Genomic DNA, 20,981 nt, shown 5'->3' with positions numbered 1-20,981 from the left:
CGAAGGAGCACAGGGCACTGAGGGTTCTGGAGAAATCTCCTCAGACTGGTGTGAATCTGGGAGGCTCCCTGAAGGAGGTGTCATTTGTGCAGAGCCTTGAAGGATGGGCCAGAAATGGGAGATGGGATGGGAGTAGGAGGGGAAGGGGATAGGGTGGGGTGACCTAGCAGGGAACTTTGTGCAGTAGCCGGGGGTTTCCTCTTTGAGAACCTCATCCTAGATGGAAGATGAGTGGCCAGACACCACTCTCAGGGGAGAGGACCAGGCCAAGTGGGGCAGGCCAAGCCTGTTTTCAAGGCATTTTGGCTCAAATTTTAACATGGGCCACAGAATCACCATTATTCTATCAACTCATTTTATGGAAGCCTCTTTATATGAAGGGCTCAGAGAGGCTGAGTAATTTGCTCAGGGTCACCTGTGATCTTCTTCCCGCCCCAGCATACTTTCTTCTGGTGGTTATGGGAAACATTTCATTTCCTGATCCTGGGGATTTGGGGCAAATGCTATTTCAGATTTTCCTTTAAATCAGAGGGTCTTATATTGCTTATTGCTTTGCTTTGTTTCTTTTCTTTTCTTTGAGATGGAGTTTCCCTCTTGTTGCCCGAGCCAGAGTACAGTGGTGTGATCTCGGTTCACTGCAACCTCTGCCTCCCAGGTTCAAGCGATTCTCCTGCCTCAGCCTCCCGAGTGGCTGGGATTACAGGTACACACCACCAGGCCTGGCTAATTTTTTGTATTTTTAGTAGAAACGGGGTTTCACCATGTTAGCCAGGCTGGTCTCGAACTCCTGACCTCAGATGATCCGCCTGCCTCGGCCTCCCAAAGTGCTGGGATTACAGGCGTGAGCCACGGCGCCCAGCTTTTTTTTTCTTTTTTTTTTTCTTTTGAGATGGGATCCCACTTTGTTGCTCAGGGTGGAGGGCAGTGGTGCTATCATAGCTCACTGTAGTCTCCAACTCCTGGGCTCAAGTGATCCTTCTACCTCAACCACCAGAGCAGATGAGACTACAGGTGCATGCCACCATGCCTGGCTAAAATTTTAATTTCTTTATAGAAACAGGGTCTTACTATTTTGCCCAGGCTGGTCTCGAACTCCTGGACTCAAGTGATCCTCTAGGCTCAGGCTCCCAAAGTGCTGGGATTGGATTATAGCCATTGTGTCTGGCCTACTGCTATTTTTCTTCCATGTTTTGCTTTCCCACTCACTTCTTCTCTTTGGATGGGGTTAGAGAACCTGGATATGGGGTTCAGGCCGGCTGGCTGCATGGTGCTGCTGCAGCCTCAGCCTTGCGTCTGTGTCTCTTTCCTAACAGTTGAGGAAATTGCATTTCCCTTTTGAAACCGATCTTCTTTCAGGCTGTGCTTGTTGCCTTACTGACCTGTTAGTAGAGATTCGTAAGGGCTTCTTTTTAAAAAAATTGAGGAGGGCTGGGCACGGTGGCTCACGCCTGTAATCCCAGCACTTTGGGAGGCCGAGGCGGGTAGATCACTTGAGGTTAGGAGTTCAAGATCAGGCTGGCCAACATAGCGAAACCCCGTCCCCACTAAAAATACAATAAAAATTAGTTGAGCCTGGTAGCTTGTGCCTGTAATCCCAGCCACTCGGGAGACTGAGACAGGAGAATCGCTTGAACCCGGGAGGTGGATGTTGCATTGAGCCAAGATCGTGCCACTGCACTCCTGCCTGGGCGACAAAGCAAGACTCCTTCTCAAAAGAAAAAAAAAATTGAGGTGAAATTCACATAATATAAGCTTAACCATTTTATTTTATTTTGTTTTATTTTATTTATTTATTTTTTTGAGACAGAGTCTCACTCTGTCGCCAGGCTGGAGTGCAGTGGCGTGATCTCGGCTCACTGCAACCTCCAGCTCCTGGGTTCAAGCGATTCTCCTGCCTCAGCCTCCCAAGGAGCTGGGATTACAGGCATGTGACACCATGCCCAGCTAATTTTTGTATTTTTAGTAGAGACGGGGTTTCACCATGTTGGCTAGGATGGTCTTGATCTCTTGACCTCATGATCTGCCCGCCTCGGCCTCCCAAAGTGCTGGGATTACAGGCGTGAGCCACCATGCCCAGCCCAAACTTAACCATTTTAAAGTGAACAATTCAGTGGCATTTAGTACATTTATAATGTTGTACAACCACTACTTCTGTCTAGTTCCAGAGCATTTTCATCACCCCCAGAGGAAACCTTGTACCCATTAAACTGTCACTCTCTCTTCCCAGTGCCCCTCCCTGCAGCCCCTGGCAACCACCAGCCTACTTTCTGTCTCTCTGGATTTGCTTGTTTTGGACATTTCATATAAATAGAATCATGTAATATATGACTTTTGTGTCTGGCTTCTTTCATTCAGCATCATGCTTTCAAGACTGATCCATGCCATAGTGGCTGTCAGTGCTTCATTCGCTTCTGCGGCCCAGTACTATTCCATTGTGTGGATGGACCGCATTTTGTGTATACATTCATCCATTGATAGACATTTGGGTTGTTTCCACCATAAAGGCGTCTTAAGGCTACTTTGTCCATTCCCGTGTCTCTGTAGCCCCTCAGTTAATGAACTTCTTGGCATAAGACATTTTTTTGTCACTCTGTTTGGAGGGAGCAGGTGATGGAAGAAAGGTTTCTTGAAATCACTCAGGAACCAGTTTCCCAACCCAAGGTTTTCGGGATTCCCTTCATGCACCCTTACCTACCCCTTGCAAGAATCGTGGCTCCCCATTTAAACCCATTGCTGGCCAGGCACAGTGGCTTACGCCTGTAATCCCAGCACTTTGGGAGGCCAAGGCGGGTGGATCACTTAAGGTCAGGAGTTCAAGACCAGTCTGGCCAACGTGGTGAAACCCCATCTCTACTAAAAATTCAAAAATTAGCCGGGTGTGTTGACACGCGCCTGTAATCCCAGCTGCTCTGGAGGCTGAGGCAGGAGAATCGCTTGAACCCGGGAGGCAGAGGCTGCAGTGAGCCGAGGTCAGTGTGACTGCACTCCAGCCTGGGTGACAGAGCGAGACTCCGTGTCAAAAAGAAAAAACCACAAAACAATAACAACAAAACAAACCCATTGCCTCCTGGATCAATTCATGGTCATTTCATTACAATTTTCAGGGACAGTCTTGGTTTTATTCAGTTCCATTCTTTTCAGTTACGATGATTTTTTGTGTGTTTTGAGATGGGATCTCACTCACTCGCCCAGGCTGGAGTGCAGTGTTGCCATCATGGCCCACCGTAGCCTCAACCTCCCAGGCTCAAGAGATCCTCCTGCCTCAGCCTCCTGAGTAGCTGGGCCTACAGCCCTGCGCCACCACGCCTGGCTAATATTTTTAATTTTTTTGTAGAGACAGGGTCTTGCTTTGTTGCCCAGGCTAGTCTGAAACTCTTGGGCTCAAGTGATCCTCCTGCCTTGGCCTCCAAAAGTGCTGGGATTACAGTTGTCAGCCATTACAACCAGCCCTGTTTTGTTAAATGAAGGTCCCCATGTGATTTTATTAGTATATATTTTGTGAGACTTTTTTCCAGGTAAGTAAATCCACAAAGTAGAGAAAAGCAGAGAGATAGTGCCACGGCCCTGTGGCCGTGAGTGGAGTCAGCCCATTCTGTCCTGATAGCTTTGCCAGGAATACCCGCCCAGAAAGCAGAAATGGAAAGCTGGCCTGAGAGGAAGGCCAGCAGAGATCAGCTCCTGAACCCTTCCATGTTCCAGACAAGGGAAGCGGAGTACAGAAAGGAAGGGAGGACGTGATCTTTGCGGAACAATTAGCTTGAGCCACGCTGTGTACTAGGGACTGCCATAGAGAAGATCAACTCTATAGCCACCCTCTTAGGTAGGTCTGGCACCATTTCACAGATGAGAAAATCAAGGCTCAAGGTCCTCTGGGATCTGTATCCTTTCCTGATGTACCTTCTCTTCCTGAGGTCTTAGGCCTCCCTTGGCTCCCCGCCCCGCCTTTTTTTTTTTTTTTTTTAAAGACAGGGTCTTGCTCTGTCTCTCAGGCTGGAGTGCAGTAGCATGATCTCAGCTCACCGCAACCTCTGCCTCCTGGGTTCAGGCGATTGTCGTGCCTCAACCTTCCAAGTAGCTGGAATTACAGGCACGTCCCATCACGCCTGGCTAATTTTTGTATTTTTAGTGGAGACGAGGTTTCACCATGTAGGCCAGGCTGGTCTCGAACTCCTGACCTCAGGTGATCCGCCCGCCTCAGTCTCCGAAAGTGCTGGGATTACAGGCATGAGCCATCGCTCCCAACTTTGGCTCCTTGTACTGGCAAATTATGCTCGTTTTCTGATGGAGTGGAGTCCACCTTCCCTGGCAGGTTATGGGATGGAAAGCATTTCCGAATAGTTTTGGGCTCTGAGAAATAAGATTTAGAATTATTATTTGTTTTCTTCCCTGATTGGACCCCTTTCTCAACAAAACCAAGATAATAATAATAAAAAAGACATCTTTAAAATGATGTGAGTTCTGTTAGATTTTGTAGGGAAGACCCCTGGCTGCTGCTTTCCCCGTTGGGGACGTTAGTGATCCAAATGGGAAAGGGATTATTTTAGCTGCCAGTGTTTCGGTTTCAGTCATGTTTGTAGTATTGCCACTGAAGTTTTTTTTTTTCAATTATGAAACATTTTAAGCATAGAGAAAAGCCAAAGTTTTGCTTTGTTTTTTTAAACTGGCTCGCTTTTTGGAAAGCTGGAAGGAGGCCCAGGAGGTGACGGAAACGGGGCAGAGTGGGGCGCCCTGGCTCTGCAGGCTCGACCCTTCACCCAGCCCGCTCTTTTGGTTGGGGTGGGGTGGGGGGATTGGTGCTGGTGACAGGCTATACCCTGGGGAACTGAGAAATACTGGGACTTGGTTCCTGTCCCAGGTGAGTGGTCTCAGAGCCTTTTGGAAAAGATGAACAATTCTGACATCCTTTCCCTTTTGAAAAGGAATGAAAGAAAATGAGAAGATTCTGTAGTGCCCCCACCCCCACCCCACCCCATCCTGAAAGCTGCTGAGCAACTATTTTTATGTTGCCTCTTTTTATCCTGGTGGCTTCTGTAAATAGTTGAGAGATGGCAGTTGCAGAGATAAAAATGCTAATCCCAACCTGGAAAAGAGAGGGATGGTGGTCCTCGGAGGAAAGGGGGGTGGGAGTCAGTGGGGAGGCCAAGGTGTTGCCCCTCTGCCCACGTGGCTTAGGCATGAGGCAGGAACCCAGCGGGTGGGGTAGGAGCATTGTGGGTGGTGCCTGAGAGAAGCTTCTGTTAGAGAAGTTTAAATGGGGAACCAGTGTTTTGCGGGGGCCAGGGTGCAGAAGGGAGAGCACACTCCCTTTTTCATTTTTGAAATGTGCTTTGGGGTATTGCCTTCAAGGCTTCTGGCAGAGAAATATTTTATTCGGTTCATCCTGGACAGTTCTGCCCTCTAGGTCCAGGTGTGGGGACGTTGGGCCCCGCAGAGCTGCAGAGCTGGCTCCCTGCACTCTTCTTGTCCCTCAGCTGAGGAGGCTTGCAGCTAGATTTAGCATGATGTCCAAAAGGTGGGGAGGAGGGAGGGAGAGGGGCCGTGGGTAGCCCAGGCACCGATGCCTGTGGGTTTCGAGCTGGCCCTCTCCATCTCTGATTTGCCAAGAGCATGCTGGGTAGAAGTCTTTTTCTTGTTCATTACAAACTGAAATTCCAGTTGTTTTCCAACCTCTTCCTTTGGTTCAGTGAAAGATTGAGAGGGATGCAGTGGGGGAAGAGGAAGGAAGGAAGATGGTTTCTACACTTTATTTCCAAATACCTCCCTCCTCTAAACACATACCCAAACTCACCCACACATTCGTAAGCTCCTCACACTTCAAGGCTGGGGCCACCCATGCACACCTGGTTTTATTTTTATTTATATTTTTTAAATTTAAAAATTTTCGAGACAGAGCCTTTCTCTGTTGCACAGGCTGGAATGCAATGGTGCAATCATAGCTCAGTACAGCCCCAACCTCCTGGCCTCAAGGGATCCTCTCACCTCAGCCTCTGACGGAGCTGGGACCACAGGTGTGCAGCACCACACTTGGCTAATGTAAACATTTTTTTGTGTGGTGATGGGGTCTTGCTGTGTTGCCCAAGCTGGTCTCGAATCCTGGCCTCAAGCGATCTTCCTGCTTCGGCCTCCCAAAGCACTAGCATTATAGGCGTGAGCCACCACTGTACCTGGCCCACAGCTGGCTTTAGATGTCTGACTGCGTGACTGGGGCCATTCTTTCAGTGATATTTCATTACTGACTAAGTAATAGCTGCCTAAGAATTCTTAAGACAGTTGGCCCTGGCAAGCAGCAAGACAGGGGAACTGCTTACTCTGTGAGTATCCAGGGCCTCAAGGGTCACTGGGCTGCAGGGCAGGCCACCTGGATCTCCTCCTGGCCCAACTGCGAGCCTGCTGGGCTGCCTGGATGAGGTCATCTCAACTTCTCTGAGTCTCGGTGACTCCATCTGCAGCCTCTGTTGCGCTGATTGCAAAAGCCATGTGAGAATGTGCTCTTATGACACATGGAAGCAAGGATGTGAAATGATATGCATACGCTATTTTTAATTTTGTAAAATGTGATGCATATGGACAAGGGCTAGAGGGGAAGATGAAGAGTTAGCACGGCAGGATTAGAGATTTAAGAGATTTCGTTTTAAAATAAATTGAAACCAGCTAGGCACAGTGGCTCATGCCTATAATCCCAGCACTTTGGGAGGCTGAGGCAGGTGGATCACTTGAGCCCAGGAGTTTGAGAACAGCCTGGGCAACATGGCAAAACCCCATCTCTACCAAAAATACAAAAAATTAGCCAAGTGTGGTGGTGTATGCCTGTAGTCCCAGATACTTGGGAGGTAAGGTGGGAGGATCACCTGAGCCCAGGAGTTCGAGGCTGCAGTGAACTATGATTGCACCACTGCATTCCAGCCTGGGCAATAGAGTGAGACCCTGTCCCCAACCGCCCCGCCCCCCAAAAAAAGGAAGCCAACTGAGGGTCGTGAATTCAGTAACTGCCAAAGTTCTTTCTTGGCAATAGCTTCTATATAGTGAGCATTCACACTTGTGCCCTCCTGAAGCACTCAGAAGCTGGATGATTGTGAGCAAGTCAGCCAGGCTCTCTGTGCCTCAGTTTCCCCACTGGTGGAACAGGGATAATAGCAGGACCTATTTAGCCAGGCGTAGTGGTGCGCACCTGTAGTTGCAGCTACTTGGGGGGCTGAGGTGGGAGGAATGCTTGAGCCCGGGAGATCAAGGCTGCAGTGAGCCAAGATTGTGCCACTGTACTCCAGCCTGGGTGACAGAGTGAGACCCTGCCTCAACCAAACCAAATCAAACCAAACCAAACCAAACAAAACAGTATCTATAACTCATAAGGTGGTTGTGACAGTTAAATGAGATGATGCAGGATTAGAAGAGTGCCAAGCACTCAAGAAGGCTAACCATTAGTATCACTGCATCTGCAGCAATGCGATTCTTGTGTTGAAAATGCCAGTTTCTTCTCCTCTCCCTGTTCATCAGCCCTTCCCTGCCCCATCCTTGATGTTTTAAGATTAAAAGAAAGAGAAAAGCAGTGTTGGAAGTCAAGTTGCCTGTCAAGGTGAAGGCTGTCCAGGTTGCCAGAGGCCTTGTAGCTGCCTGGCAGTTTGGCCTGGATGAGAGCCCTGGGGTGTAGGGAGACAGCAGCTTCCCTGTCAGTCAGCTCTGTCATTTGTAAGTCAGGGCCCTTGACTGTAAATGATGGAAAACTAATCACGAAATAGCTTAAGCAAAAATGGAAATATGTTGGCTCATGTAGTTAAAAATTGAGGTACATGAGCTTCAGGCATGGCTGAATCCAGGTGCCTAAACAGTGTCTTCAACCTCAGCTCTTTTCCATCCATTACCTCTCTTCTCTCTTCTTAGACTTCATTCTGAGGCAGGGTTCTCTCCAGCCCCTGGTAGCTTTAGGAATATATCCTCTGAGCTCTAGGTTCAACAGAAAGGACATTCTTTCTTTTCAACACTTCCACAAAATCACAGAATAAGACCCAATAGACTGACTTGGGTCACACATCTACTCTCTTTTTTGAGACAGGGTCTCGCTCTGTCACCCAGGCTAGAGTGCGGTGGCATGATCACGGCTCACTGCTGCATCAACCTCCCCAGCTCAAGCGATCCTCCCACCTCAGCCTCCCTAGTAGCTGGGACTACAGGTGTACGCCACCATGCCCAGCTAGGTTTTTTTTGTATTTTTGTAGCGATGAGGTCTCGCCATGTTGCCCAGGCTGGTCTCAAACTCCTGGGCTCAAGGGATCTGCCCACCTCAGACTTCCACAGTGCTAGGAGCACAGGCGTGAGCCACCATGCCTGGCCCACACATCTACTCTGTTTCTTTTTTAGATAAGGTCCTGCTCTGTTGCCCAGGCTGGAGTGCAGTGGTGCAATCTTGGCTCACTGCAACCTCCCCCTCCCGGGTTCAAGTGATTCTCGTGCCTCAGCCTCCTGAGTAGCTGGGATAACAGGCATGCGCCACCATACCTGGCTAATTTCTGTATTTATAGTAGAGGTGGAGTTTCACCATGTTGGCTAGGCTGGTCTCGAACTCCTGGCCTCAAGTGATCTGTCCGCCTTGGCCTCCCAAAGTGCTGGGATTACAGGCGTGAACCACTGCGCCCGGCCTCATATCTATTCTTGAGTTACCCACTTGACCAGAGCAATTGATAGCCAGCTGGCCAGGCTTGAGTCACATGCAAATCTCTGAAGCTGATGGTGGGGTCAGCCCTGTAGGGCCACCTCTCATATGGAGGGATGGCTTCCCAGACATAAATTGGGCTGCTGTTATCAGACTAAAGAAACTTCAACTCTAGGCCAGCTAAAGAAAGCTTCTGACCTTCTGAGTGGCCTTGGGACAGAAGAAATAAACAACAACTTCTAGTCAGTATTTACTGAGTGCGAGCAGTGTCCTAGAAAGTTCTAGGCCCGGGAATTCAGCTGTAAACAAGGAGGCCAAAGCCACAGCTCTCATGAGTTAGTCATGTCCATGTCCCTGTGCCCAAATCCTGTGCATTTCTCCTCCAAGCACTTTGAGACCCTGTGCTTTCGCTCTCATCTCTCTCAAACACAGGTCGAGGTCCCAGCAAGGCAGAGGAATGGGCTGCCTGCCCAAATCCCTTGTTAGAGATTTTGGTCCAGCCTGGACTTTATTCAGGACGCAATATGTGGACATGGCAGGGCTATGCCTGTAATTGTTGGCCCCTTCCTGAAAAACTCAGCCCGGCCGGGTGCGGTGACTCATGCCTGTAATCCCAGCACTTTGGGAGGCCAAGGCAGGTGGATCACTTGAAGTCAGAAGTTCGAGACCAGCCTGGGCAACATGGTGAAACCCTGTCTCCACCAAAAAACACAAAAATTAGCTGGGCATGGTGGCGTGCCTGTAATCCCCAGCTACTTGGGAAGCTGAAGCAGGAGAATTGCTTAAACCTGGGAGGCAGAGGTTGCGCTGAGCCGAGATCACACCACTGCATTCTAGCCTGGGCAACAGAGCGAGACTCCATCTCAAAAATAAGTAAATAAATAAAAATAAAAATAAACAAGAACAACAAAACTCAGCCCAATTGTCGCCCTGCCTAGAACCACTGCGTGACTTTGGGCAAATCAGTAAATCCTTCTGAACCTTCATTTTCCTCATTGGTGGAATGAAATGGTCAGAGCAGGTGACCACTGATGTGCACCTGTCTTTGCACTGACATTCAGTGACTTGAAAGCAGGGGCTGCAGACTCAGACACCTGTAGCGGAGAGGCAGGGCATGAGATGTGGGCCGAGGGGAGGGCGTGGGCCGTGGCAGGCAGCCTGTCCTCAGCTTTGGAGAGGCACTGGGAAGTGGTGAGGACTGTGGCGTGCTGGTGAGTGTGTCCCCTGCCCAGAGCTGCAGCGAGTGGTTGCCAGGATAGAACACAGGCCCAGTGCTATCAGTGTGCAGTTCTTCAAGAAAATCTGTAAATTTGCACTTTTATCTGAAATCTCCTGGCTCTGAAATGTTGGCATCTCATTCAAATGGTTATTTATTTATTTATTTATTTATTTAGCGAAAGGATCTCATTCTGCCACCCAGGCTGGAGTGCAGTGGTGCAATCATAGTTCACTGCAGCCTCCAACTCCTGGGCTCAAGCCATCCTCCCGCCTCAGCCTCCTGAGTAGCTGGGACTACAGGTGTGAGTACCATGCCCAACTAATTTAAAAAATTTTTTTTGTAGAGATGGGGTCTCACTATGTTGCCCAGGCTGATCTTGAATTCAGCATCAAGTCATCCTCCCACCTCGGTCTCCCAGAGTGCTGGGATTACGGCCATGAGCCACCACTTCTTCAGATAGCTTTGAACCTGGTGTAAGGCCAGTATATCGGTGGCCAGATGTCACACAGGAGTCATCATTTGCAACGTTTTTGTTCTAGGGACTATGATGAGGATGGGGTCTCTGAGGCCTGAGATATCTCTATTGCCATCTGACAAGGGAGGGCCTTTGTTTTTGCGGACTCAGTTGTTTCAGTGGCCCCAAATTAAAGAGCGCTGAAGGAGAGAGCCAGTTGTAACAGTTGGTGTCACTGGATCTGATAACCCTGCTTAGCTGGGCTAGGGCCCTGGGTCTGAAATATTCCAGCACCGCCTCCGTGGATGCAGCCGAGCCTCTCAGGTCTCCCGCTAGAGCTTTGGGAAATGCCTCAGAGTCTGTGGCCTCCAAGGCAGCCGGCTTCTCCGAACCCCACTGGTTGGGTGGGGTGCTGTATTATCTTCCTAGAGAAGCCGTGACCAAGTCTCACACTGGGCGGCTTAAAGAACAGAGATATTAGGCAGGGCGTGGTGGCTCATGCCTGTAATCTCAGCACTTTGGGAGGCTGAGGCGGGTGGATCATCTGAGGTCAGTAGTTTGAGACCAGCCTGACCAACATGGTGAAACCCTGTCTCCACTAAAAATACAAAAATTAGCCGGGCATGGTGGTGGGTGCCTGTAATCCCAACTACTCAGGAGGCTGAGGCAGGAGAAGCACTTGAACTTGGGAGGCGGAGGTTGCAGTAAGCCGAAATTGCGCCATTGCACTCCAGCCCGGGGGACAGAGCAAGACTCTGTCAAAAAGAAAAGAAAAGAAAAGAAAAAAAAGAACAGAGATATATTCTGTCATTTCTGGAGGCCAGAAGTCTGGGATCAAGCCTTGGCAGGGTTCGTCCCTTCTGAAGGCTCCGAGGGGAGTCTGTTCCAGGCCTCTCCTGGCTGCTGGTGGTTGTTGATAATCTCTGATGCTCCTTGGCCTCTAGAAGGAGCATCGTCTCCGCCTCCATCTCCGTGTGGCCTTCCCCCTCCGTGCTGGCTGGCTGTGTGTCTACCTTTCCCATTTATTGGACTAGGCCTGTTGGACTGGGGCCCACCCTAATGACCTCATTTTAACTTCATAATCTCTGTAAAGACCTGTCTCCAAATAAGGCCACATTCTGAGGTCCTGAGGGTTAGAACTGCCACATAACATTTTTGGGGGACACAGTTCAACTCACAGCAGGGTCTGAGCCCAGTCCCTGTAGCATTGCCCTGGGCTGCCCTCTCGTCATCATCATCCACTTCCCACAAAGCTGTAGCCCTTCCAGCCCCTCCTTCCCCACTTTGTTCCTGCTCCCGGGCTCCAGACCCAGGAAACTTGTTTCTGTTGCCTCCACTCTCCCGCCTCTTTTCCACAGAGGGCCTTCTCAGAAGCTGTTTCCTCTGCTGGGAACAAGTTCCTGCTCCTTTAGTATCTACTCACCCTGTAGGTCTCAGCCTAATAGACGTTCACCAAGAGGGGCCTTCTTTCACCCACCGCCTCCCTTCAAATCTAAAGTGGTCCCCTCTGGTATTCTCTTTGATCATATCCTGGTCTTCTGCCCCAGTCTGTGCTTATAGATTCACTTGGGACCTACTTTTTCTTTTTCAAGATGGACTCTCGCTTTGTCACCCAGGCTAGAGTGCAATGGCCCAATCTTGGCTCACCACAACCTCTGCCTCCCAGGCTCAAGCGATTCTCCTGCCTCAGCCTCCCAAGTAGCTGAGATTACAGGCGCCCGCCACCACACCTGGCTATTTTTGTATTTTTAGTAGAGACGGGGTTTCACCATTTGGCCAGGCTAGTCTTGAACTCCTGACCTCAGGTGATCCACCCGTCTCGGCCTCCCAAAGTGCTGGGATTCCAGGCATGAGCCACCGCACCCGGCCTTGTGCACCTACTTTTAAATGTTGGTCCCCCTCATTGGACTGTCAGTCCCCTCGAGGGCAAAAACCACATCTGTTTTGTTTATCCAGCACGTGATCATTGCTTTATAATTACTACATGTAAGAACAAATGAATGAATGAATGAATGAACGCATTTCCTTGAGGACCTCTGTGGGCCTCAGTTTCCCCATGTGAGACAGGGTGTGGCTGAGCCCATTTTCCCAAGGAGGACATTGATGTCCCGGGCAGGACATCATCCGTAGCCTTGGCAGGATCCTCGGAGCTGTTTTGGGCCTTTTTGTTGTGCCCGGGATGAGGCAACCTCAGGGGAGCCTGCACAGGTGTGTCCGGGCTTGGGAGCACCTCTTTGGCACCCACTGGCAGCTTGCTGCGCGGGAGGTAGCGGATGCAGGTTGGAAACAGCCCCTAGGAAATGAGAATGTGTTTCCTGGAGGCCCGCGTCTAGCGGGGGACCTGCCCCGATAATCACATAGGTTCTTTTCTATTTTCCTAAGCGTCGGCTGGCTTGAGAAATAAAGGGACAGAGTACAAAAGAGAGAAATTTTAAAGCTGGGCGTCCGGGGGAGACATCACATGTCGGTAGGTTCCGTGATGCCCCACAAGCCACAAAAACCAGCAAGTTTTTATTAGGGATTTTCAAAAGGGGAGGGAGTGTGCGAATAGGTGTGGGTGACAGACATCAAGTACTTAACAGGGTAATAGAATATCACAAGGCAAGTGGAGGCAGGGTGAGATCACAGGACCACAGGACCCAGGTGAAATTAAAATTGCTAATGAAGTTTCGGGCAACATTGTCATTGATAACATCTTATCAGGAGACAGGGTTTTGAGATCAACCGGTCTGACCAAAATTTATCAGGTGGGAATTTCCCCTTCCTAATAAGCCTGGGAGCGCTATGGGAGATGGGAGCGCTATGGGAGACTGGAGTCTATCTCACCTCTGCAATCTCGACCATAAGAGACAGGTACGCCCCGGGGGGTGCCAGTTCAGAGACCTACCCCTAGGTACGCATTCTCTTTCTCAGGGACGTTCCATGCTGAGAAAAAGAATTCAGCGATATTTCTCCCATTTGCTTTTGAAAGAAGAGAAATATGGCTCTGTTCTGCCCGGCTCACCGGCGATCAGAGTTTAAGGTTATCTCTCTTATTCCCTGAACGATTGCTGTTATCCTGTTCTTTTTTCAAGGTGCTCAGATTTCATATTGCACAAACACACATGCTGTACAATTTGTGCAGTTAATGCAATTATCACAGGGTCCTGAGACGATATACATCCTCCTCAACTGACAGGATTAAGAGATTAAATAAGACAGGCATAAGAAATCACGAGGGTATTGACTGGGGAAGTGATAAGTGTCCATGAAATCTTTACAATTTATGTTTAGAGATTGCAGTAAAGACAGGCATAAGAAATTACAAAAGTATTAATTTGGGGAACTAATAAATGTCCATAAAATCTTCACAATCCATGTTCTTCTGCCATGGCTTTAGCCGGTCCCTCCGTTTGGGGTCCCTGACTTTGGCTGGCTGAGCCCATTTTCCCAAGGAGGACATTGATGTCCCGGGCAGGACATCGTCCGTGGCCTTGGCAGGATCCTCGGAGCTGTTTTGGGCCTTTTTGTTGTGCCCAGGATGAGGCAACCTCGGGGGAGCCTGCACAGGTGTGTCCGGGCTCGGGAGCACCTCTTTGGCACCCACTGGCAGCTTGCTGCGCGGGAGGTAGCGGATGCAGGTTGGAAACAGCCCCTAGGAAATGAGAAGGTGTTTCCTGGAGGCCTGCGCCACTCAGCTTCCTGGCAGAGGAAGGAGCGTTTCCCTCATCCTGGCCCGGGTCCCGGGTCCATCTGCTCCAGGAAGGCTCTGGTGGCTCGTGATGAGCTGCCCTGTGAGAGGGAACAGGGTAGAGGCAAGGCCTTGGGGGATGGCCTCTGCCTGGATTTCATGGGGAAGGATGCAGGGCCAGGGCTGACATTTTGTCAAATCCAAGCAACTTTGCAAAAAAGTCCTCCTCTCACGCTCCGCCCTCTGGAATCGAATGCTTCACTGTCCTTCCCTGGCAGAGGGCCTGGTCCTGTGAGGGTTACATGGCCAGGCGGTTATCTCCGTGCTGGGTGCCTGATGAGAGCTCAGTTGAATGTTAGCCGTTGCTGTTTCCAGGCTAAACTATTGTCTTTTTGCATGATTTCTTCTGCACAGAGTGTTGGTAGCTTTCATCAGATCTTTGTAGGGTCTGTGACCCCCAAACCGTTCAGGACACTGGCCTAGACTCTAGGTGTCTGTGAGGCCAGAAGCCCCTGGATGCATCTCTTCCTGTCAGGGCCTGCGTCCCTGGGGCTCCTCTCTGCTGAGCTCTGGGGTTTCACGCTTGCCCTGCCAGCGCCGACGTCCCTGCCCGGGGTCTGAGCTGTCTCTCCTCTCCATCCTCCAACAGACCGCAGAGGCCGAGACTCCGTCAGAGCTGTGAGGGAGGCCCGGGCCAGATGCCAGCTTGCCAAGGAGGCCGATTAAAAGCAGCCTTGCTGGGGGCGGATGGCTCAGTGCCCTTGGCCTGGTGTAGAGTTCGATAAGCAATTGTTTTCCTGTTGGTGAGAAAAAAACAAATCTCCATTGACTTTCCCAGGCACTGCTCAGCCTCATTTTCTTCTCAGGAACTCTTGCAGCCCTATCAGAGGCAGCTCTAGGATAGGGGAGAGACTGACTGCCTGCCCTGGGGGACGCAGGCCACACAGCCAGGGCTGAGGGACACACTTAAGAGCAGGCCAGCTCGCTTGGACATTGGTCCTCGTGGGAACATTCCAGAGCATAGGCTACCTACCAGAGCAGGCCATGGGCATCTGTATTAGTCCGTTTTCACGCTGCTGATAAAGACATACCCGAGACTGGGCAATTTACAACAGAAAGGTTTAACTGGACTTATAGTTCCACTTGGCTGGGGAAGCCCCATAATCATGGCGGAAGTCAAGGAGGAGCAAGTCCGGTCTTACATGGACGGCAGCAGGCAGCGAGAATGAGGAAGATGCAAAAGCGGAACCCCCTGATAAAACCATCAGATCTCGTGAGGCTTACCACCATGAGAACAGTATGGGGGAACCCGCCCCCGTGATTCAATTATCTCCCACTGGGTCCCTCCCACAACACACGGGAATTATGGGAGTACAATTCAAGGTGAGATTTGGGAGAGGACACAGAGTCAAACCATAGCATCCAACAGGTGTTTGTTGAAGTAATAGTTTTTGAGTACTTAACCACTTGCAGGGCATGATTCTGAGTGCTTGGTTCATCTAATCCTATGACTATCAGATGGGCACCAACTTTACAGGATGTCAATGACCTTAAGCTGTTGAACTTCAGGGTATCTTGAGTTTCCTCTTCTGGGACATAAGGACCATGAGAAGGAGAAGTAAAGTAGCAGCAGCTAGGGCCATAGAGAAATATCAAACTTGAGTTGTATTCTCTCATTGATGGGGAAACTGAGACAGGGACAGAGTTGATGATTTCTTTCTGAGATACAGTAAGGGGGAATGGGGGACAGAGAAATAGGAGATAAGACCAACTGCTCCCCTCTCCTGACCTCCTGCCCCGTCTGATCCCGTAGCATCCTAGGCCTTATCATCATAACTCCGATCATGGTTACAGGTATTTTCTTTCCTTTAAAACACTTTTTATTTATTTATTTATTTTAGATGGAGTCTTGCTCTGTTACCCAGGCTGGAGTGCAGTGGCGCAATCTCGCCTCACTGCAACCTGTGCCTCCCGGGTTCAAGTGATTCTCCTGCTTCAGCCTCCTGAGTAGCTGGGATGACAGGTGCCCAACACCACGCCTGGCTAATTTTTGTATTTTTAGTAGAGATGGGGTTTCACCATATTGGCCGGGCTTATCTGGAACTCCTAACCTCAAGTGATCTGCCTGCCTTGGCCTCCCAAGGTGTTGGGATTACAGGTGCGAACCACTGCATCTGGCCTGAATTTGACTATTCTAGATACTTCATGTAACTGAAATCTTACAACACTTGTCCTTTAGTATCTGGCTTGCTTCACTTAGCGTATGTCTTCACGGTTCGTCTGTGTTGTAGTGTGAGTCAGAGTTTCCTTCTTTTTTGTGGCTGTATAGTATTCTGTTGTATGGCTCTGCCACATTTTGTTTATTCATTCGTCTGTTGATGGACACTTGGTTATACCTTTTGGCTATTGTGAATGATGTTGCTATGAACATTAGTGTACAAGTATCCGTTTGAATCCCTACCTTCAATTCTTTTGGGTCTATACCTAGGAGAGGAATTGCTGGTTATATGGCAACTCTACGTTTAACTTTTTGGGGAGCCACCAGGCTGCCTGATTGTAGTTTGAATTTGCAGTTCTCTTACTGTGAGGTTGAACATCTTGCCGCATGATTGGACTCTTTGGCGTTCTCTTACCACACACTCTGTGTGCATGAGTCAGGCCCGTGTCAGGGCTGGGGCGTTGGGTTTTCCCTTTTGCCTTTCCTGTTGGGCTTTCCCTGCCACGTGCCTGGCGTAGTAGCTATTTCATCAGTTCTTCTGGAAGGACCGTTCCGAGAGCGCTGAGGGCCATTTTCTGCCTCTCAGCCAGATCCTCCAGGGAGCTCTGGCTTTCCGCTGTCTGTACCTTCCTCTCTTTTACCCCACTACCTCCCAATGTCATCGGAGATACCATTTTATTCATTCATAAAATCTCTGCTGAGCCCTCACTGTTTTCCTGGGACATCTAGAGAGACCCCCCCCCCACCCCGCCCTTTTTTTTTGAGATGGAGTCTCCCTCTGTTGGCAGGCTGGTGTGCAGTGGTGCAACCTCAGCTCACTGCAACCTCCGCCTCCCAGGTTCAAGCAATTCTCCTGCCTCAGCCTCTCCAGTAGCTAGGATTATAGGCATGAGCCACTACACCTGGCTTATTGTTGTATTTTTAGTAGAGACGGGGTTTCACCATGTTGGCCAGGATGGTCCAGAGAGACCCTTTGTGATGTGGGTGATTAGCATGGAGTGGCCATCATCCACAGGTGTCTGTCCACAAATGTACTCCCTGAATTCCAGTGGTACCTGTGACATTTGTCCAGCAGAATTTGTCAAACACGTTAAGCAAAGGTTAATGTTCTGTCCCAGAGACGGTAAGAATTGACAGCCTAAGGGGATGTGTTAATCTTTTTTATTTTTATTTTTTGAGATGAGTCTTGTTCAGTCACCCAGGCTGCAGTGCAGTGGTGCGATCTCGGCTCAGTCATTGCAACCTTCACCTCCCGGATTCAAGTGATTCTCCTGCCTCAGCCTCCCGAGTAGCTGGGATTACAGGTGCCCACCACCATGCCCAGGTAATTTTTGTATTTTTAGTAGAGATGGGGTTTCACCAGGTTGGCCAGGCTGGTCTTGAACTCCTGACCTCAGGTGATCCACCTGCCTTGGCCTCCCAAAGTGCTGGGAGGATTACAGGTATGAACCACTGTGTCCGACTTCTCTCTCTTTTTTTTTTTTTTTGAGATGGAGTCTCACTCTGTCATCCAGGCTGAAGTGCAGTGGCGTGATCTCGGCTCATTGCAACCTCCGCCTCCCGGGTTCAAGTGATTCTCCTGCCTCAGCCTCCTGAGTAGCTGGGACTACAGGTGTACATCACCACACTTGGCTAATTTTTGTATTTTTAGTAGAGATGGGGTTTCACCATGTTGGTCAGGCTGGCCTTGAACTCCTGACCTCATGATCCACCCGCCCTGTCCTCCCAAAGTGCTGAGATTACAGGCGTGAGCTGCCGTGCCTGGCCTTTTTTAAAAAATTGAGATATAAGTTCATGTAACATAAGTTGGCCATTTTGAAGTGTATAGTTCAGTGGCATTTAGTACGTTCACAATGCTGTGCAACCATTACCTCTATCTAGTTTCAAAACGTTTTGATCACCCCAAAAGGAAAACCTGTGCCCATTAAGCAGCCATTCCCCACACCCACTAATGTCACCACCCCCATAGTCCTAGGCAACCATTAGTCTACTTTCTGTCTCTGTGGAGTTGCATATTTTAAAAATTTCATATAAATAGAATCATATATATGTGACCTTTTGTGACTGGCTTCCTTCAGTTAGCATAATATTTTAGAGGTTCATCCATATTGTGGCATATACTTGATTCCCCCCGACCTTTTTTTTTTTTTTTTTTTTGAGACAGTCTTGGTCTATTGCTGAGTTGCTGAGGCTGGAGTGCAGTGGCATGATCTCGGCTCACTGCAACCTCCGCCTCCTGGATTCCAGCGATTCTCCTGCCTCAGCCTCCTGAGTAGCTGGGATTACAGGCACACGCCACCATGCCCGGCTAATTTTTGTATTTTTAGTAGAGATGAGGTTTCACCATGTTGGCCAGGCTGATCTGGAATTCCTGGCTTCAAGTAATCTGCCTGCCTTGGCCTCCCAAAATGCTAGGATTACAGGTGTGAGCCACCGTGTCCAGCCCTGACCTGCATTGTTAATGCCCAGCATTTAAAAATAAAAAGTCAGGCAAACTTATTAACCTCCTTAGGGCTTCTCTTGGGAAAAACAAAGGGAAGACCAGCAATAGTAGGCCCAGATTCCTGCCGAGCAACAATTGGCTTGAGCTGGAAGCAGCTGTCAATTCTGTAGGGGATATGTGTGCTCTATTTGGGGGTTTTCTTATACTTGTTCCTATAGGAATTGAGTTAGGAATTATTGTCATGGTATGTGAGAAGTGGTTCCAGCTACTTGGGAGGCTGAGATGGGAGGATCACTTGAGCCTAGGAGTTCAAGGGTACAGTGAGCTATGATCGCACCACTGTACTCCAGCCTGGGCAACAGAGAGAGGGAGAGACCTTGTCTCAAAAAAAAAAAAAAGAAAAAAAAAGAAAAAATAATAAAAGAAAAAATATAAGAAGATGCAGACTCTGCTTTTCTGTATAGACTCAGAGATCAGATCACACCATGTTTTGCAAGATTTTTTTAGGATGTCAACTGGAGGCAGGAATTAGACAGCAGCCTGGGCCAGGAGGAGAGGGGATCCTTTCCTGTCCCTGCCCGTAGGAGCTGGGCCAGCTGACCCTTTCTCTTTCTGCAGGTGGCTCCGCTGCCGGATGGGAGTGCCCCAGTGTGCTGGATGAAGCTGGCGCATGCACCATGTCATCATGTGTCTCTAGCCAGCCCAGCAGCAACCGGGCCGCCCCCCAGGATGAGCTGGGGGGCAGGGGCAGCAGCAGCAGCGAAAGCCAGAAGCCCTGTGAGGCCCTGCGGGGCCTCTCATCCTTGAGCATCCACCTGGGCATGGAGTCCTTCATTGTGGTCACCGAGTGTGAGCCGGGCTGTGCTGTGGACCTCGGCTTGGCGCGGGACCGGCCCCTGGAGGCCGATGGCCAAGAGGTCCCCCTTGACACCTCCGGGTCCCAGGCCCGGCCCCACCTCTCCGGTCGCAAGCTGTCTCTGCAAGAGCGGTCCCAGGGTGGGCTGGCAGCCGGTGGCAGCCTGGACATGAACGGACGCTGCATCTGCCCGTCCCTGCCCTACTCACCCGTCAGCTCCCCGCAGTCCTCGCCTCGGCTGCCCCGGCGGCCGACAGTGGAGTCTCACCACGTCTCCATCACGGGTATGCAGGTGCGTGAGCCGGTGGTGAGCCAGGTCCTAGGGGTCCCTGGTGCCCTTCCCTGCCCCCAGCAGGGCCTCTGTGGAAGGTTGGGCTCCCCCAGAAGGATCTGAGTGCCACGGTTGACCTAGGAGTTGACTCCAGGGAACCTTGGGGGCGGCTGGGGCCAAAAAGGGGCCCTAGGGGGGTCGTGAATCAGCATGGGGAAGGGAAGGCAGTCAGCAAAGGGTGGGTCATGGAGCCGATTACCAGTGTGGAGTGTGGGCCGCTGGGGCTTTTTCCTTCCGTGGGACCCTGGGGAACAGCACAGAGCAGCAGCCTCAGTCATCCCACCAGGGGCAAGGGAGCTGGGGTATTTATACTCATGGGTGAGGGCTGCTGGGGCAGGTGTGTGTGACCCCCTGTGGGTGTGGACAGAGCAGTTGCAGGGCCGGAGGGAGCCTCCAGCAAAGAGACTGAGGTGTGGGCGAAGGTGTGATGGAATGAGGCGGGTCACTGAGAGCCTGGCGACGACCCGCCTGGCCGAGCGTGTGTTGGCACCAGGCACTGGGTTCAGCACTTGCTGTGCATTTCTCACAGGACCCTTACCGTAAACCCTGCGGGGATACAGAGAACTCAGATCCTCACCAGGGTTCACAGGGCCCTGTGTGGTCTGACCCTTTCCCATCCCTCCTGCCATTCTGCTGCCAGCTCCCTAAGCTCCCTCTGTTCCTGCCTTCACATTCCTCGGAATCCAAGCTCTTGCCTTGGGTCTGTACTCTCGCTGTTCCTTCTGCTTGGAACCACCTCCCCCACCACCCCATGCCAACTTTGTAAGGCCTATTCCGATAATGTCCAAGTCTCAACTCCAGTATCACCTCCTCCAAAAGGCTTCCCGGGCCACCATCCCTAAAGCACCCTCCAGCCTCTCTCTGCCCCATGGCCCTATTTGCTTTCCTTCATAACGTTAATCAGCATCTGATTATCTGTGCGTTGGTTTAGTTGTTTATTGCCTGTCTCCACCCAGCCAGAACGTAAGCTCCATAGGATCATTTCATCCACCTCCACACCCTATCCCATCCCCAGAGCCTAGCACAGTACCTGGTGCATAGTAGGAGCGCAAAAATATTTGTTGAAGGAACGAATGAATTTAATTGGAAGAAGACCCAACATCAGGATGCCTTTCTAAAGGGGCTTTTTTTTGTTGTTGTTGT

General features: G+C 50.3%; 1 protein-coding gene across 23 annotated transcripts in view, besides 2 other annotated features; it reads left to right on the top strand.

The window, feature by feature from the left end:
- CAMKK2 (calcium/calmodulin dependent protein kinase kinase 2) overlaps nt 1-20,981 on the top strand; it is a 60,128-nt gene that overhangs the window by 3,965 nt on the left and 35,182 nt on the right. For 18 of the 23 annotated variants that reach the window (NM_153500.2, NM_172216.2, NM_153499.3 and 15 more), the window contains one exon: nt 19,270-19,799. In NM_153500.2, coding sequence (NP_705720.1) covers nt 19,329-19,799 — 471 coding nt within the window. In that variant the 5' untranslated portion in view covers nt 19,270-19,328. Of the gene's footprint in view, nt 1-580; nt 704-19,269; nt 19,800-20,981 lie in introns of those variants that run through there. The other 5 variants (XM_047428107.1, XM_047428103.1, XM_047428102.1 and 2 more) reach the window with 1 other exon arrangement.
- Nucleotides 10,172-10,779: an enhancer, noted in NCBI's record as "H3K4me1 hESC enhancer chr12:121720879-121721486 (GRCh37/hg19 assembly coordinates)". NCBI's record gives its function as "activates a minimal SCP1, AML or CMV promoter by ChIP-STARR-seq in naive H9 embryonic stem cells {active_cell/tissue: H9 hESC(naive)}" and the evidence as "EXISTENCE:reporter gene assay evidence [ECO:0000049][PMID:30033119]".
- Nucleotides 10,780-11,387: an enhancer, noted in NCBI's record as "H3K4me1 hESC enhancer chr12:121720271-121720878 (GRCh37/hg19 assembly coordinates)". NCBI's record gives its function as "activates a minimal SCP1, AML or CMV promoter by ChIP-STARR-seq in naive H9 embryonic stem cells {active_cell/tissue: H9 hESC(naive)}" and the evidence as "EXISTENCE:reporter gene assay evidence [ECO:0000049][PMID:30033119]".

The sequence above is a fragment of the Homo sapiens genome, chromosome 12 (genome assembly GCF_000001405.40).
Source record: "Homo sapiens chromosome 12, GRCh38.p14 Primary Assembly".
Lineage (NCBI taxonomy): Eukaryota > Metazoa > Chordata > Mammalia > Primates > Hominidae > Homo > Homo sapiens.
This window is presented reverse-complemented; position numbering and strand designations above follow the sequence as displayed.